This window comes from Homo sapiens, chromosome 4 (assembly GCF_000001405.40).
Source record: "Homo sapiens chromosome 4, GRCh38.p14 Primary Assembly".
Taxonomy (NCBI): domain Eukaryota; kingdom Metazoa; phylum Chordata; class Mammalia; order Primates; family Hominidae; genus Homo; species Homo sapiens.
In genome coordinates this window covers 37843205-37862937 of record NC_000004.12, presented here as the reverse complement: position 1 = coordinate 37862937, position 19733 = coordinate 37843205, and the positions used below count along the sequence as shown (strand labels likewise).

The 19733-nt window shown below is 38.6% G+C and overlaps 1 protein-coding gene across 2 annotated transcripts in view; it reads right to left on the bottom strand.

The window, feature by feature from the left end:
* The window catches only part of PGM2 (phosphoglucomutase 2), a 36252-nt gene continuing 16519 nt past the window's right edge, over positions 1-19733 (bottom strand). For both annotated transcript variants that reach the window (NM_018290.4, XM_047415895.1), the window contains 8 exons: positions 18385-18574; positions 17208-17305; positions 15827-16007; positions 15643-15736; positions 14287-14416; positions 12565-12754; positions 7197-7330; positions 1-1428 (listed from right to left, as the gene is read on the bottom strand). In NM_018290.4, coding sequence (NP_060760.2) covers positions 1326-1428; positions 7197-7330; positions 12565-12754; positions 14287-14416; positions 15643-15736; positions 15827-16007; positions 17208-17305; positions 18385-18574 — 1120 coding nt within the window. In that variant the 3' untranslated portion in view covers positions 1-1325. The remainder of the gene's footprint in view (positions 1429-7196; positions 7331-12564; positions 12755-14286; positions 14417-15642; positions 15737-15826; positions 16008-17207; positions 17306-18384; positions 18575-19733) is intronic.

The window sequence follows — 19733 nt, the reverse complement described above, 5'->3', positions numbered from 1 at the left end:
ACAGATCTAACATTTCTTTTCTCCACAGTACAGTTTGACACTAGAAAACATTATAAAATAAACATAAATATGGCTTCTACAATAAAGCAGTTTGTAGAATATATCGAATATTATAGATTTAAGAGTTCTGGTAGGATATAAGCGACATATGACTAAAATAGAAAAATAGTTACAATACTATCACATAGTATTGTAATTTTTCATTGTTCTGAAACTGTTCATAACTATTTAGGTTGAGTGTAATCATAATGGCAATCATTTGCTTTAAAAATCAGAAATAATGTAAAATATATAAAGTATATAAAGAAAGTTTGATCCTAGCTCATGGGTGCCCAACTGGAGTTATTTTGGAAGGCTGTAAGACCACGAATTATGAGAAGATAGAAGGTACAGATTAAATAATAAATCTATTTGTTATTAGAAATTGGCTTATAGGAAATCTATCATAATAAAGTCTAGTTTTAGATTTCAGACCACACAAGAACAAGAGAAAAAAACGAGGGTCAAGTAAATAGTTCTTGCTCATAGGTCTTGCTGCCTCCAAACCAGGAATTACATTAAATTGTGCTAATACAAATGAACAAACAACCAAAAAACAGAAAAATATGCTACTTTCAAGTTTCAAGTAAACAATTGGTTTTTCAAGATTTAAAAAGATGAGTTTCAACACATTAAACAAAGACACTGAAGCTGTTTTTTCCTAGCACGTGTACGATGTACTAATATCCTATGTGCATTATTAGAACTAAAAAAAATTTAGTTCAAAAAAACTTATCTTTTTAAAGCATCTTTGCTCTACTTCATAGGTTTCTGCAAATTATATTTTCCCCAAACATGAACACAACATTTGATCTATTCATTTATTTTACTTTCTAAGGAATTGATAGAAATATAAATGTACATATACCTAAAAAGTGGCTATCCTACATATGACAGCCCAGAATTTACTAACTCCATAGGTTTTCTGGATATTTCAAGCACACATTAAAACAATTACAGAGAGGACATACATTTATGATTTATGCAAATTAAGGCACATCAATTACAATCTATTTTTTTAAGTTAGTCAGTTTAAAAATCTTCACTTACAAAAATTCAAAATATGTCCAAGCTCAACTTTTTAGTAGGAATGTTAGTTTGTTGGGTTTGGCCATTTTCTTTTTTCACCTTAAAGGTCAAACATGAAACAATGAGGAATGTAGGTCTTTGTAAAACACATAAATACCTGTGATGTTTTGAATCATTTGGCCCTTAAAAATATTGCTTAACAAGTTAAACCCAGCTTAATTGTAGGTAAATGCAAGTATACCCAAGGCTGGACTATTTTAGTCTGCTTTTGGCTGCAGATTGTACTTCTGTGGCTGGAAAAAATGTTCTTCAATAGCACTGACCAGTTCATTCAGTTCCTTCTTCAGCTGCTCAGGATCACTGGAAAATAAGGGGGAAAAAAATCCAGGTCAAGGGATTATTCCAAAGCACAGTTTAAATGCTCCCCCCATTGACCAAGTGACAATGAAAATATAACCTTAAGAAGAGGACTAAATAGGAAAAAAAAGAGAACTCCAGAGACTTAAGCATGGAACACATCTATTGACTTAGACAAAACACCCCATGAGACAATATGCATTATTTTTCCCAAAGATTTTTCCAATGTCTGAACTATAAACAAAGTTATCCTTTGCTCTTCTCATAAGACTTTGTAAGAAACACAATTTTTGGCCTAGCATCCCTAAAAGATCTGTAATATTTGTACCTAAGGGTGTAGAGAAAGCTTTCATGTCAGTTGCCATTAAATCCTGCTAAACTTTTATAAACAACATCTCTGTTAACTCCTCAGTCTCCCAGAATACAGACATTTGTGATGATGTCTGCCCTCAAACTACTGGCACCTAAGCTCCAGCCTTGTCTATAAAGCCTTCCTAGAATGAACAGCAATAGGGAGCCTCCGGGTGGGTTTGAGGAGTCAAACACCAAGAAATCAGATCCCTGTGGTCATATCATAATGAATCTATTTCTTGAACCAAAGATTCACAACTGAAGTATAAACAAGAATCTGGGGAGACAAATCCCTTTAAGAAAATCAAGTTTTCAGGGCTGTGGGCAACACTCATTTATATACAAACATTTGAAAGGTTAAGTAACAGATACAGCTGACTTGCAGTTAAAGAGGTTTCCAGCATCTTAAGTAGCCTAGTGTGAGTACTGTAAGTACTTAACACCAAAAAGCTAAATTTAAAAATCTAAATCCTTTGTACTTTCCATTACTTCATACTCTTCATACCATCTTTAATATATGCAGAGTTTATTTTAATGGAAATCCCTATAATTAGTTAAAATCATTTCAACATTGTAATAGCTAAACAGTACTGTAATAGCTAAAGCAATCCATTTCATTGTAGACATTAATTCTGGCTCTATACTTACTAGCTCTGTGCCCTTGGGCAAGTGGCTTGGCCTCTCTAAGGCCCAGATTCCTCATTTGTAAAATTGGGATAAAGACTTTATCTTCTCAAGAGAGTTTCTGTACAGATTGCGATAAATTATATAAAGCAATTAGCACTGAACCTGGCCCAAAGACCTCAATAAATGTAGCTATCATTATAATTATTTTTATCCCTACTGGCAACATATAAAGTAATTATGCTTTTTAAGTACATATGAATTATATCAGTTTTCTTTTCCTTCTCCATAAATGTGCTTTGAAGAAAATAACAGTTCTCAGGAAGGCATGTAAGCTAATCATTTTTTAAAGTATACTTAAAACTAAAACTTGGTGAATTTACTGATTACTAATTTATTATTCAAATTTATTTCTTAATCATGACATGAGTGAACATTACGATTCATGTATGCAGTGATATGTTTTTGATATTGCATTTTATGTGTGAAAAAGAAATCAGTACCACCGTGTAAGGTTTAGTGGTACAATTCTTAAAACAAAAATTTTGTGTTACTATTCTCCATCCTAATCGATAACTGTTCCATTTGTTAAATTAATGCTTGAGAATATTTCATAACATCTTTAAAAATAACAGGACACATCCTATAATCATTTAAGCCAGGGTTAGGAATTCCTGTTTCTGAAAAGAATCTAGATGGATCTCTTTATCAGAATGTTTAGGAAAGTATCATTTTTCTCTAATCATCATGAAAAAACATTTAAGCTAAACGACAAGTAAATACAATGCAGTGTTCTTGATTTGATTATAAATTGGGGAGAAAACAGCTATTTTGGGGACTTTTGGGGATTTAGGTGTCAATTTGGCTAGGATAGTGTCTCCAGTTATTCAAACACTAATGTTGTGATGCTGTGAAGGTATCCTGTAGGTGTGATTAATATCTATCATCAGTTGATTTTAAGTAAAGGAGATTATCCTAGACAATGTGGATGGGCTAGATTCTATCTGAAAGGCATCAGGAATGGAACTGAGGTTTTCCTGAAGAATTCCACCTGTAGACTGTAACTTTAACCCATGCCCAAGAATTCCAGGCTCCCTTTCTGGACAGCCTGCCCTGCAGATTTCAGACTTGCCGAGCTGGCCCCTACAATCAATTGCACAGGTTGATTCCTTGCAAACAATCTCTTAATAGGTACATTCTACTGCTTCTGTTGGTCCACTGGAAACCTGCCTAGTACCATTATTATCTATTTGCCTTAATATTAAGAGAGTGTTCTTAAGAGATGCATACTGAAATATCAGGAGTGAAGCATCATGAAGTCTTATGATGTGTCATGAAGTATCACAGAGTGTTTCAAATGGTACAGAAAAATCTCAAATACATAACATATATGGTGAGAGAGCAAATATTGCAAAATGTTAGCAATTGCTCAGTCTGGATTGGGGTCAACAAACTGTGGTTCATGTAGTTTTACTGGAACACAGCCCTGCCCATTCCTTTATACATATGGCTGCTTTCTTACTACATTAGCAGAGCTGAGTAGTGGTGACAGAAATCACATGTCTGCAAATCCTAAAATATTTACTATCTGGCTCTTTACATACAAAGTTTGGTCTAAGTGAAGGGTGTGTGGGTATTCACTGCATTCTTATTCCAACATTTCTGTAGGTTTGAAACTGTTCAAAATAAAAAAGTTGGACAAAACTAAGGACATCTCCCCTGACAAAAATATATTTTTAAAGCAGCACATACTTGAAAAGGATTTTCCATTTTAGTTGATTAGAAGGCCATGAAATTCTATGAATAATTGAAATTTATGACATAAAGCATATTAATAATATTTAAGCTTTTCAGGAAAGAAGGAAATCTTAGTGAAGACATTATTGCTAGCCTGGTGCAGTGGCTCACGCCTGTAATCCCAACACTTTGGGAGGCTGAGGCTGGCAGATCACTTGAGGCCAGGAGTTCGAGCCCAGCCTGACCGACATGATGAAACCTTGTCTCTACTAAAAAAAAAAAAAAAACACCAAAAAATTAGCTGGGTGTGGTGGTGCATATCTGTAATCTCAGCTACTCAGGAGGCTGAGGCACAAGAATCGCTTGAACCCAGGAGGCAGAGGTTGCAGTGAGCTAAGATTCCACCATTGCACTCCAGCCTGGGCAACAGAGAGAGATGTCTTAAAAAAAAAACAAAAAACAAAACAAAAAAAACTTTATTGCTGTTGTACGTTAGGTATGCTGGTGCCTTGCTTAAGCCGTGACCACATATCCATCTACTGACATAGCGCTTAATGTCCCATTTAATAAATGGAAGCAATGTTTCAATGCATATAATAAAAGGACAAATTTTCAAGGTTTTTTTCACTAATTTATAAGCTAATATTTGAATTTAAGTCCACTCAATAAGCCATGTGAAAAATGTTAATACCATAAAGCCTTAAACATTTAAATAGTGTTATCATTACAAAGGAAAGCTTTCCGAAGTATAAGATATATTTTCATCAGATAATGAAAAGGAAAGGACAAGATACAGAAAAAACAGATCCTTAAGTTGGACTGTTTAGTTGGACTGTCCATTTCTTTTTAAAAGAATGAAACATAGAAATAAGAAAACACTAAATAAGCAAGAATTATAAAGAAATGTTTACAAAAAACTATATGCAATATAGCAGCAAAGAGCTTACTATCTAATGCACACGAAAACAAGATTCTTGCATAATATTACAATAAAATATTGGTAATCCAGAATTCTTAGAAAATGAGCTTTTATATGTTCACTTAATAGTTGAGTTTTTGCACTTTAAGCACAAAAAGGTTTTGAATGGGAATCCATAGTGAAAATATATTACATAGTCCCATGACTTCTTAAATATCTCTTTATTGAACATCTTGACATTTGAGAGCCATAAGCATGACTGTGTTGGAGTGGAGCTGTATTCTGGGCTCACTTGGGTGTAGAATGCTATTTCCCTCATGATAAACTCATGGAGTGGTGAGCTTTCTAAGTCCTTGTGTCCACGTTTTATAGTTTTGTTTTGTTTTAATATTTCCTTTCTTGCTATCAGCAGTCACTTCTCCTTGCCTAAGAAAAGTTTGTTATACTTCCCCATTCCTCTAATTTGCTACATTTAATCTGCTACTAGCTTGGCAATTTAAGATGCTCAGGAATTTTCATCTGCTTTTATTTGCACAAGTTTGATTCACGAGGCTGGAAAAACTCTTCTATGAGCAAAGCTTTGGTTTGTCTATGTTGTCACAATTACCTAGATGGGTGCTGTTTACTACAGCGGCCATTAGACACATGTGGCTACTAAGAACTTGAAATGTGGCAAGCGCCACTGAGAAACTAAATTTTTAATTTTATGAAGTTCAGTTAATTGAGTTCAAGTTTTAAAACTGATACTTGATTCAGTTATTAGAAAACAAGTATGTTTGGAATAATCTGGGTATTAAAATCTACTTTGTCTAATCTAAATTTTATTAACTCTACAGATCAAGTATTTCTGATAAAAATGGAGCATTCAAATTGAGATATGCCGTAAGTGTAAAATTACTGAATCAATTTTGAGGACTTTTTTCCAGAGGAAAAAAAAAGAATGTAAAACATCTCATTAATAATATTTATACTGATTATATGTTGTAATAATTTTTGGATATACTAGGTTAAGTAAAATACATTATTGAAATTAATTTCACCTGTTTCTTTTTACGCTTTTAAAAGGTGACAAGTAGAAAATCAAAATTGCATCTGTGGATTGCATTTTAGTTCTGTCAGACAGCACTGACTTAATTCACCTTTCACAAAAACTTTTCCTGATTTTCAACTGTATTCTGAATAGGGAAATGCTGGTTAACGGCATGTTGGATAGGCATGCAGTATCACACTTACACACACTAAGGACAGCACTGAGCTTGTTAAGGTGCAAAATGTTAAGTTGTTACAGAGTGACCAACTCAAACACTTTTTTGAGGTCACAGAAACTTGAACCTGAAGCTACCAGCCCATCAGTTCTTTGGCAGCAAGGACTCTCTCTGATGAGGCTCTCTGTGCCCCCTCCAGAACCCAGCACAGACCTGTCTACAATGGGTACTCAAAGATATTTCTTGAATGCATGTGGAATGGATTATAATTTATTTATTTATTTATTTTTTTGAGATGGAGTCTCGCTCTGTCGCCCAGGCTGGAGTGCAGTGGCGCAGTCTCGGCTCACTGCAAGCTCCGCCTACCAGGTTCACACCATTCTCCTGCCTCAGCCTCCCGAGTAGCTGGGACTACAGGCGCCCGCCACCACGCCCGGCTAATTTTTTGTGTTTTTAGTAGAGACGGGGTTTCACCGTGTTAGCCAGGATGGTCTCAATCTCCTGACCTCGTGATCCGCCTGCCTCGGCCTCCCAAAGTGCTGGGATTACAGGTGTAAGCCACCGCACCCGGCCCGGATTATAATTTATTTTATCAGAGACATGGGAAGACTGAAGTTTGAGAAAAAGAGAAAATCTCATTGGTGTTAGCTACCAATGAAAAGTGTTTAGAAAAAGGCACTTTTACTACTATACTGAAATAAGGATAAAATTTTCCCATACAAAGAAATTTAGGACAAAAGTAAGAAAGTAAAAAGTAAGCTTTTCCCTGGATGCTGAGACTGACTGTTAATACCAAAATATTAGTGCAGGTTCTGAAACAGCATTTCTAATTAAATTACCTATTAGAAAGATGGAACATTTCACTTGGCATTTGAATAGAACCAGTTAGGAAGTCTGGGGAGTAAAAATCACACCAGCTGCCATCCACATCATACCTGTTCCCAGGTGGGGCACACAGCTCTGCATAGTACTTGATTTTGGGCTCTGTCCCACTGGTGCGCATGGTGGCCACGCCTCCATTAGCAAAGGTGAAGGTGATCATTTGGCTGCTTTTACTAGTGGGAAGAACCTAGGAATTAATGCACACATTATAAATTTAAATAGTAACATTCTGGCCTAACCAATATCTTCTCTTGCATAAGTAAGAAAATAAATGCCAAACAAATCTATTGGTTAGAAAAGAAAAACATTCTGGAGGAAATCAGAAAATGTACTCCACATGAATGAAATACTAAACGATAGTAATTTATGAATATGTGGTCTACTATATGGAATACTATTCAGCCTTAAAAGAGAAGGAAATCCTGTCATTTGCAACAATATGGAAGAACCTGGAAGACATTATGTTGAGTGAAATAAGCCAGGCATAGAAAGACAAATACCGCATGATCTCACCTACATGTGGAATCCGAAAAGGTTGAACTCACAGAGGCAGAGAGCAGAATAGTGGTTACCAGGGGCTGACTGGGGAAGGGTGGGGATAAGGGAGGGGAGTTTGGGGAGATGCTTGTCAAAGGGCCTAAAGTTTCAGCTAGACAGAAGAGAAGTTCAAGAGATCTATTGTACAATACGGTGACTATAGTTAATAATGATGCATTGTATACTTGAAAATTGCTAAGAGAGTAGATTTTAAGTGTTCTCACTACAAATACATGATCAATATGTGAGGTAACACATTCTAATTAACTTGATTTTAGCTATCACAATGTATACATTTTAAAACATCGGATTGTACATCATAAATGTATACAATTTTTATTTGTGAATTAACATAACTAAATTAATTTTAAATAAAGAAAATTAAGTAACTTTGTGTATTAGCTTTTACTTCCCTAGTTCTATTGAAGTTATTAAAGTTTTATTTAAACACATCATTTCACAAGATATTGACTTAAACAGATTAATACACCACAAAAAAAAACCTCAAACTAGATTATATTTACTGTTATAAAGTGAATCTTTGCAAAGAAAATTCCATAAGGAGTTTTTTTTGTTTTTTTTTTTTAAATAAAGCTTCCAGGCTGGGCGCGGTGGCTCATGCCTGTAATACCAGCACTTTGCACTTTGGGAGGCCGAGGAGGGCGGATCACATGAGGCCAGGAGTTGGAGACAAGCCTGGCCAACATGGCAAAACCCCGTCTCTACTAAAAATACAAAAATTAGCCAGGCATGGTGGCGGGTGCCTGTAATCTCAGCTACTCAGGAAGCTGATGCAGGAGAGTCACTTGAACCCGGGAGGTGGAGGTTGCAGTGAGCCGAGATTGCGCCACTGCACTCCAGCCTGGGTAACAGAGTGAAACTATGCCTCCAAAAAAGAAAAGAAAAAGAGAAAAAAAAGGAAGCTTCTGTAAGAAAAAATAAATGCCATATAAATTTACTGGTTAGAAAAGAAAAATGGTCTTGAGGAAATGGTATATTTATATTTGATAGGTCCCAAAACTCCATTAAAATAGAGGTACTTTGAATAGCATAAACACACGGGCAAAGAGACAAAGAGGAGGTAGCAGCTGATGGGGCTGCCAACCGATCGCACAAGTCAGAAAACAGATGGAGGCACAGAACTGGTCTGGTGGGACCCAGAGAATGAAATCTGAGTGCCTGCGGAAGGAGACATGGATGAGAACTGAGGCAAGGTGCTCTGCAAAATCCTGGCCAAGCTCAAGAACCAGAGGCACCAGGTACTGCAAAAGGCAGATGTGAGGCAGGGGTGGAAAGCAGGAACAGGGTTTGAAAGAAGTTCTTAGACCATCCCGGTTCCTTGCCCTGAGCCCACACCGTCACAGAACCACCTCTTCTCCATTTCTGCAGGAGATGGTTTAAATTCTCTGGAGATTAAATCAGAAACATTCAGGAGTTGGGGAACCTGGGCAGGGCATGATGAAAACAGAGGGATCAAGTAGAAGTCCTCAGGCTGACACCCCCAGCTCCGCCCCAGTCATGCCTCCAGGGCCTTGGCATCTCATCTTATCATCCTTGGGTAGGTGATTAAGGTCTCATTAAATCAGGGGGATCCCCTTATAAAGTTAACTTGCTACCAATATCCTCTGAGTGAAGTATGTCATTTGATCTGCATATGTACACAGAGCTTCCAATCAGTTCTTAGGTGCCCAAAGGAAAATTAAGGATCATCAGACTTTTGGGGAAAGACATCATGTAAAAGACAAAGTCCAAAACAAACAGAATAAAAAGAACTTGGTGGAAATAAAGAGAATGTAGCAGAAAAAGAAGACATATATTTTTAAAAAACTATAATTAGGTCTATAATCCTTAGAGAGGTAAGATATTGTTTACATTAAAAAAAAAAAAAAAAAAAAAAAGGAATATCACCCTGGGCAACACAGCAAGATCCTGTCTCTACTAAACTAAAAAACCTTAGCTGGGCATGGCGGCACACACCTGTAGTCCCAGCTACTCAGGAGGCTGAAGCAGGAGGATTGCTTGAGCCCAGGAGATCAAGGCTGCAGTGAGCTATGATCATGTCACTGCACTCCAGCTTGGGTGAAAGAGCAAGACACTGTTTCAACAGGACACTATTTTTAATAAATTAGTTATAACTGAAACAGCCAACAGAGGCACTGAAAGCTAAAGCTAAGGAAATCTCCCAGAAAAACAGAAGAAGAAAGAAAGAAACAAGAAAAGTAGAACATCAGTCTTGGAAAGCCAGCATCTAAGAGCTCTTCAAGAAACAAAGAACTGAAAATGCAGGGGAGGTGATTATTTTAAAAAATAACCAATTAGCTCCCTTTCCTGATACATAATCAAGAAAACTTCTCAGAACTAAAATAAATGATTCTACAGACCAAGTATCCAGAAACATGAATAAAAAGGGACCCATACTATAGCATATCACTGTGAAATTTTAGAACCTGAAGTTTAGAGAAAAGTTCCTAAAATCTTCCCAGAGGAAAAAAACAAACAAAACAAGTTGCATGGAAAGGACTGAATAAGTATGGCATCAATAACCTTACATACAGCATACAGTAGGCCTTAACTATCTGCTGAAAAAGGAAGGATTGGAGGCTCAATAGCAATGCTGGAAGCCCAACAATAATGGAGCAATGCTTTCAAAACTGTGAGTCAGTGAAGTGTGAGGACAGAATAAGACATTTTCGGACTTAAATGCCACCAAAAACTTACCACCCAATTACTTGTTCTCAGAAAGCTATTAGAGGATGTGATCTAGGAAAATAAATATAGAAAGAGGAAGCCATGAGGTCTAGGAGCAAGGGACTCAATCCTGGAGAAGGGCATTCCCAGGATGACAGCTGTGCACCCAACCAGGAGGGCGGCCATTGGACATGGACCAGGAAAACCCTACTGAGAGGCATTTGAAGGATTTGGGAAAAACTGCTGACAGGACATAGAAATCCAGGCAAATGGAAGAACAAAGCAACTATTACTACATGAATTAAGGCAGGCGCAGTAGCTTACGCCTGTAATCCCAGTACTTTGGGAGGCTAAGGCAGGAGGATCACTTGAGACCTGCCTGGGAAACCTAGGGAGAGACTCGTCCCTCCAAAAAAAAAAAAAAAAAAAAAAAAAAGAGCTGGGCATGATGGCATACCCTTGGTCCTAGCTACTCAGGAGGGTGAGGTGGGAGGATCACTTGAACCTGGGAGGTCAAAGCTACAGGGAGCTGTGATCATGCCATTCACTCCAGCCTAAGTGACTAAGTCACACAGCAAGACCCTGTCTCCAAAAAAAAAGAAAACAAACAAACAAAAGGTACAGGAAATACAATTCTCTATACAAATTAGGGAAACCTAATCAAAATACACTACTTAGCTAGCAGGCAACAGCAGTTACTAGTCATAATAACAAAAGCACGGAATCTGATTTAACCAAAAGCTGTGGCATAAACGTACTGTGAGGATGGGGAGAAGAGAATTATTGAATGTAGAAAGCGTAAGAACTAAATCTTTATCTCAAAAATAGAAAGTCAACAAATTGTAAAACTGGTATATCAAAACATCACTATATGAGCACATGATTTACAAATCTAGTCTTGGTGACATGGCAATGAGGTGGCAGGGGTGGGACTGCCACGTTTCATCGTAAGCGTTTTCATACTATTTCTATTTTAAAAATATGCTGTGTGCAGATGAAAATGAAAAATAGAACAAAGAAAATATCAAAGAACGTGCCTAACATCTCATAAGGATATTCTTAACTTTCCTCCCCCAACCCCAACATAGAAAGCAACACTCTTCTGCTACCTTTGTGTCTTCTTTTGTCTCCAGTGAAAGATCTGCTTGGTGTAAAGAATGCAAACTCAGGCTTTACAGCCAACAGCTCCAATACACTCAGAGAACAGAGTACACTAACTAGAAAACAAACAGTGGTTCTCAAAGTGAGGACCAGTTGCATCAGTACCACCTGGGACCTTGTTAGAAATGAACATTTTTGGCTCCTACCCCAGACCTACTGAATCGGAAAGTCCAGGTGTGGGCTCCAGCACTCTGTTTCCCCAGCCTTCTTGGTTACTGATGCTCCTGCAAGTGTGAGAACTCCTGACAGGGAGAGAATGCTGGATCCTGAGATAGAAAACCCAGATTCTCCCTGGACCACCACCAACTAAGCTCTGTGTCCACAGACAGGTTCCACACTTCTGATCACTTATTGCCTAAGGTGCGAAATGACCACACAGGCTTTGATGACTAGTTCCTCTTTTTTTTTTTTTTTTTTTGAGATGAAGTCTTGCTCTGTCACCCAGGCTAGAGTGTAGTGGTGCAATCTCAGCTCACTGCAACTTCTGCCTCCTGGGTTCAAGCAGTTCTCCTGCTTCACGCTCCTGAGTAGCTGGGATTATAGGTATGAGCCACCACACCTGGCTAATTTTTGTATTTTTAGTAGAGATGGGGTTTCACCATGTTGGCCAGGCTGGTCTTGAACTCCTGACCTCAAGTGATCCACCTGCCTCGGCCTCCCAAAGTGCTGGGATTACAGGTGTGAGCCACCGCTCCCAGCCTAGTAGAGTCTCTTTCAGTTCTAGCCTGCGGTTTTTAACTTACCACGCCCAGCTAATTTTTGTATTTTTTAATAGAGACCGGGTTTTGCCGTGTTGGCCAGGCTGGTCTCGAACTCCTGATCTCAAGTGATTTGCCCACCTCAACCTCCCAAAGTGCTGGAATTATAGGCATGAGCCACCACATCCGGCTTCCATATATTTTTTATAGCTTATTTATAATCACGCCTAAGTGCCTAAAATCAGCTTCAATTAATTGTATGGTTAAATAATTTATTCAAATTATTTTAAAAGGTAAATAGAAAAGAGGTTAGTTGAAAAGAGAAGACATTACTTACAGCTTTTTTATCAGGTTGGCTATCATCATAGCCAGTTGTAAGGTCCCTAATGGCAGAAATTTCAAATTTGCCACAAGCTTTTGGATAATTATTTTTTCCATCGTAGTTTCTGAGGTTTTCAAATAATTTCTTAATGGTTTCTTGATCATGGCAGATAAAATAGGAAGCTTTAGTAATATGGTAGCCATACCTATCAAACAAATACAAATTCATGCACATGAGGAACAAATAATTTTGTAGGGTGGACACAGAACATGTACCAACCAGTGTATTCTAAAATAAATATGGCTGGGTGTGGTGGGTCACGCCTGTAATCCCAGCACTTTGTGAGGCCGAGGCGGGCAGATCACCTGAGGTCAGGAGTATGAGACCAACCTGGCCAACATTGAGAAACCTCGTCTTTACTAAAAATACAAAAATTAGCCGGGTATGGTGACAGGCACCTGTAGTCCCAGCTACTCCAGAGGGCTGCAGCAGGAGAATCGCTTGAACCCAGGAGGTGGAGGATTCAGTGAGCCAAGATTGTGCCATTGCACTCTAGCCTGGGCAACGAGAGACTCCATCTCAAAAAATAAAATAAAATAAAATAAATAATAAAATAAATGTAACAGCCAAAACTGACGCCAAAGGAATAATTTTTAAAAGACCATTAAAACAGAGGTCTAGGCCAGGCACAGTGGCTCACGCCTGTAATCCCAGCACTTTGGGAGGCCAAGGTGGGTGGATCACCTGAGGTTAGGCGTTTGAGACCAGCCTGGCCAATATGGTGAAACCCCTAACTCTACTAAAAGTACAAAAATCAGCCAGGTGTGGGGACACCTATAATCCCAGTTACCCGGGAGGCTGAGGTAGGAGAATTGCTTGAACCCAGGAGGCAGAGGTTGCAGTAAGCCGAGATCACACCACTGCACTCCAGCCTGGTGACAGAGCAAGACCCCGTCTCAAAAAAAAAAAAAAAAAAAAAAAAAAGAGGTCCAACAATCTACCCCAGGGATCACCAAATGACTGCCTGGTCTTCCGCCTGCATTTGCACAGAGAGCCAGGTCACACGCATTTCTGTATTCTCTTTGGATGCTTACGCACTACACTGGCAAGGCAGAGTTGAGTAAGTGCTACAAAAAAATGAATAGATGTATTATGAAGACATTCAATCTTTTTTGATACTGGACACTTAAAATCACATTCTTTCATGTTGTCATTTGTTAAGAATTAATGCGATCGGGAATAGTAATTACTAACTTGTTACATATCAAAAGGAAAAGGTGATCTCTTTAGTTTTTTTAAATTTTTTTTTTTTTTTTTTGAGACAGAGTTTAGCTCTTGTCACCCAGGCTGGAGTGCAATGGCGCGATCTCGGCTCACTGCAACCTCTGCCTCCCAGGTTCAAGCAATTCTCCTGCCTCAGCCTCCTGAGTAGCTGGGATTACAGGTGCCCACCACCATAACCAGCTAATTTTTGTATGTTTAGTGGAGACGGGGTTTCACCATGTTGGACAGGCTGGTCTCGAACTCCTGACCTCAGGTGATCCACCCGCCTCAGCCTCCCAAAGTGCTGGGATTACAGGCATGAGCCACTGTGCCCAGCCTTATTTAATTTTTATAAGAAATAGAATTCATCACCAAAATAAGAGCATTAGAAAGGATATTAGTATCTCATGCATAAGTATATAATAGAACATTTCAAAATATTATTTCAATCCAACAGAGTCAATAACAACTTACTCCACATAAATGGCCTTTAGTTGCTGAGACAAAGACAAATTCTTGGTTGCTAGGAAGCTAGCCAACTCTGCACTTATGACAGCGGCACTGACTCCATCTTTGTCCAGAACAAAAGGGCAGCACATGTATCCTGCAGAAACACACGTCATACATACATCTATACAATACTGTGTCAAACCACATATGAGTATGAATCCTGGCTATTGCATATTAGAGGTTGTACAGTGTTGCGTGTATGCACATTTCTCATTAATACCTTATGTTTAGGAATTTAGCCCAGTGCCTAGCCCATAGCAGGCCTTCAAGAAGTATTTGCTGAAGAACCTGCAAGATTTTCCCTCCTGGCCACATGGTGCTCAATCACTAGAGTCATGAAACTCCTTCCAGCTCATGAAATTGTTTCTAATTGTCCTAGTCAATACATATCTCTTTCTTCTCTGAATCCCAATAGTATTTGTTAGTTACATTATTCATTTTGACATCTGGCCTCTACTCTTGTGTGTGATTACTTAACTAAATCTATCTAAGCTGCTGTAGGCTAAGGTCAGTGCCATCCATTTCTTTTAGAGTCACTGAGTAATAGACATGCAATTAATACTTGATAAATGAAAGAAAATCTTTCTTAAAATAAAAAGCTACGGAAAGACAAGTCTGCCAAATCTGACAATAAAAGAGCAGAACCTGAGCGATTATGCTTTGATTAGTTAAATCATGTGTTAGTGTTGCAGAGAATATACAAATGAATATAAATAAATCTAATGCATAATAGTTTTTACTAAATTAATAGCTAAAAGCGTTTGGTACAATGTGAGTTTCAAATTTCTATAGCTAGTTCTCCTTTCTGTTCATTTATATTGACAGTTTAGGACAAGGGTTTTTCTGTCATTCTGGCTGGACCTGGGTCATCCTTTTGGGTGAGTATCATTCTGATGACAGCAGCAAACCATGCCTTCCTTCTCCTTTCCTCTGGCTAGACCGTAGCATAGATCCTCATTAGCACTTTTGGAGGAGGAGGGACATTAAATACCACAGTGTTTAGGCCTGGATATTAACCACCACAGTGGAGGAAACATCACAACTCCCAAAATACATGTACCGGCAGCCAAGCATACAATGTCACTGTTTTGAGTCATCCAGGCAAAGGATTCTGACATGAATGACTTAGTTGTTTTTAAGACATTCCTTTTGGCTGTAAATCATCTGAGATGTCAATTTTGGAGTAGGACAGTTCGACATTCAACCTGAGTGCTGGAGAGGCAAAATAAACCGTGTTTCACTGTGGATCTTTGAATCCCAATCCAAACCTTTTCCTTTTGCCTTGCAGCCAATTCCTTAATGTTCATGATCACTTCTTACCAATAGCTTCTTCAAATGCAAATAAAACAGTTTTCCCCTGGTCTATTAGCTGTTTGGCTCTGTTTCCCATCCACTTAAAGCCAGTTAATGTTTCCTAAAGGGATAATCCAAAAGAGAAAGACATGCCTTAGATCTTCTACAGAGCAGATGAAAGGAAAATGAGTGAGTCCCAGAAACACCCTACCTCAAAATGAAAACCTTCCTTTAAGGCAATGGCCCGCAAGATTTTGGAGGAGACGGTGCTGGACAACATGTACGTGTCTTTGAGAGCACTGCGATCCTGGTTCTTCTCTTTCCAAGATGTAAAAAGCCACCAGCCCAGGAGGGCCCCCAACTCATTGCCTGAAAACACCCTCCATTCACCACTGAAAGAAAAAAAAAACAACAACCACCATTCATTTCCATAATCTTAAGGAAGACTCTAAAGTGTCATGGGGATAAAACAATTTAGCAAACAAAGCATCTAAGTATTTTCTGCAAGGCTGTTCTTGTTATTCATCATCTTTAAATAACTGGTCAGAAATGTAACTGCCATTTTACAAACATCTGAGCAGCTACCATATATATCAGCCAGTTTGCCTGAACAGACATCCTGTCTTTGAAGACTGTATAAAATAAGTATGTCACACATGACACACAATGGCTCTATATTAATCTTTGGCAAAGCCTTTGGTTTTAAATATAACAAATATGCTGGCAAGATCCCCCATATATAGAGTAAGTTTTGCTATCTCAATTTCTGGACTGGTCAGTATTGCTGATTCTGAGAGGGGACAGCTCAGTACCCCTTAAGATCAAGCTCAGTCCTAAATGGTCAGAACATCAGAGAAAAGATGTGTAATTTCTGCTTCTCTTGGCAGTCCAGATGGCTAGAAGTAAATCTCACCTATCAGGACGTATCATCTTAGCTTAACTTTCTCAACACTGATATAGAATGGAACCTGTTTTATCACAATCTGAAAACCCTACCATTTCAGCAGCAGCACCCTCCTGCCCCCAAAACATCACATAGGCTACCTGACGCCCAAAATTGCTTGGGCCCTGCCTACCTTTCAACTTTAGCCCCACGTACTTACTTCTCCTTTGTACAAACTCTCTGGTCAGACTTGTCTTAAACACTGTGCCGATACCCCACAGGAATTCCTCCCTGGTCTGTCCAAACTAAATTCAGCATCTCCTTGAAGGTACTGCTCCCTCCTAAACCCCTCAGCAAATACTGAAGCATACAGCTAGCACCAAAGTGCTTTACCCTCATTAGACACTGAGACATTACTTATAAAAAGATCAATTACAAAATGAGAAGTTCCCAAATAGGAGTTTCAATTTGAAATATATACTGGGTTGATTTACTCTGCATTATGCTTGCCAATCACGTAACCTCCCCCCACACTAGATCTCTATCTTGCTCTCCATTAGAAGACTCTACAGGAGGTTCAGTGAAATGATCATTTGCAAAATAAATGGGAAATGTTTCCAAATAGGTCCCGTCTCCCCAGAAACATTTTACCAATGAAGAGATCATCCTTTATATGTTCTATAATATAGGTAATCACAATTAATTTTACCTGTCTTGCTTTTCTGCCACAGCAAGTCTATCAGCATCCGGGTCGTTAGCTAAAACAATTCTGGCCTTGGTTTTGTCAGCCAAAGCAAAAGACAAAGTCTGAAGAAGAATATGAAAATAAAAGATTATTTAATCAAGAATCGAGCATATGATAGTCTTTAAAAACATTCAGTTCCTTAAGAACTCAAGAGGTCTTTCCCCTCTTAGAAAGATAATATAGGACCAACCAAGACAGCTCCAGAAGTGAAATTTAGCAAACAAAAGCTGCAGCTGGTCTTGGTTGGTCACATAGTATCTTCCTAAGTCAGAGGTCAGATAATGGGAGCATCGGTGTGTGACCCAAGCCTACCAGTGTGCCTGCTGCACATGCGCCAGTAGGTCTGTGGTTGGACTGGTATTTCGGGGCATTGCTGTGTGATCAGCCTCACAAATAAAACAAAATAAACTGATTCTCTGAATGCCACTGCTACCCCAACCTTTAAAAATGTTACAGAAACCATAATGTAAGCAACACTTCATATCAGAAAAATGACAAGAAATAAAAATCATAACCTGCTAAAGTTTCACTCTATTACTGCTTCTTTTTGGCATTAAGGAGACACGGCAAATTAAATTAAATTAAATTAACTGAATTTGAAGCACCATTTAGAGCTCAGTTCTCATATCCTGATCCTGGGGTGTTTAATTTGAAAGATCCTTTAAGAAATTAATGACTAACAAATATACATACTTCTTGTTTTTTTTTTTTTTTTTTTTGAGACAAAGTCTCGCTCTGTCACCCTGTCACCCAGGCTGGAGTGCAGTGGTGCAATCTCAGCTCACTGCAACCTCCATCTCTCAGGTTCAAACAATTCTAGCGCCTCAGCCTCCCAAGTGGCTGGGATTACAGGCATGTACCACCACACCCAGCTAATTTTTGTATTTTTAGTAGAGACAGGGTTTTGCCATGTTGGCCAGGCTGTTCTCGAACACCTGACCTCAAGTGATCTGCCTGCCTTGGTCTCCCAAAGTGCTGGGATTACAGACATGAGACGCTGCACCCAGCCAAACATACATATTTCCATGCTGAAATTAGTTTTTCTTCAGCACAATGAAAACACATAAAAATGTATTTTACTTGACAGTAATAGTTTTGAATATAAAAGCAGATTTCATAATTTAAAAAAAAATTAGGTTACCAAGACACCTTTCCCCTCTTCGGGATTCGGGTATTTCACTGTTGGAAACTCAGGATCCGGATCTTTCTGTTCAGGAACAGCCTCAGGAGGAACAAGGTCAAAAGCCTTGAAAGCTGACTGCACAAAGCTATGACCCACCCCATGGACAGAGGTGTGCACAAACTTCACCTTTGTCTCCCTGTTCACGCTCCTAGAATCAGATACACAGTGGAAAATGATACAAGGCAGAAACAGGGCTCTCAAAACTGCAAGGTTTGCAAGAATGCACAAGACAACTGAACATCTTTCTAATTCCATTTCAGAAAAACAAAACGTATCCATTCTCTCCCAGATATATATATTCCTTCCCTCAACATACTCAAGTTTTAAATTCTACTCTGTAGTTATTTTCAGCAAATCTGATTATTTCAGGTTTTGTTTTATGCATCCCATCTAGAGTGAGATACAAAGAAGAACCTCAAGCTCATGTTCCCACACGAGACTCACTGCTGGCCTGACAGGTGCCCTGACAGTGCTACAGCCAGCCCGGGACAGTTCCAGGGCTCCACACACCCACACATCCCCAAAGCGACAGGTTCCCAAATGTCTTTTATCAGCTTCAGAAATGATTTTCAAAATGTCCTTTTTAACAAAATGTGTTGGGTTATCCCATACATAAAGATATAAAAAATAAAACTTTTACTTTGGGAGGCCGAGGCAGGTGGATCGTGTGAGGTCAGGAGTTCAAAACCAGCCTGACCAACACAGAGAAACCCCATCTCTACTAAAAATACAAAATTAGCTGGGCATGGTGGTGCATGCCTGTAATCCCAGATACTTGGGAGGCTGAGGCAAGAGAATCGCTTGAACCTGGGAGGTGGAGGTTGCAGTGAGCCGAGATTGTGCCACTGCATTCCAACCTGGGCAACAAGAGCGAAACTCCGTCTCAGGAAAAAAAAAAAAATAATAATAATAAATAAATAAAACTTTTTGTTTGCCAAGTAACAATCCTGTTTGATACCATGCCATGACTTAGGGACTTTATACAGACTAACAACAGATACCAAAATTAACAGGAGAAGTTACAGAAAAATAAAAGGCTTTAAAAACTTCCAGTGCTCTGATGGCTGGAATCTTAGGTTATTATCCATTTCTTTTGGGAATGAATAAATGAACAAGGTCTTATCTAAGAGAATTGTGGTTTAAAACAAGCATACCCTGAAAATAAAATGCATCTTGGAAAATAAATATGTAAGATTAGGGAAGAAAAATCTGGAAAAACAACTCTCTTGGATTTTAAAATACATAATAAACCTACAGTAATTAAAACAGCTTGGTACTAGACATAAAAAGGCAGATTAAAGGAACAG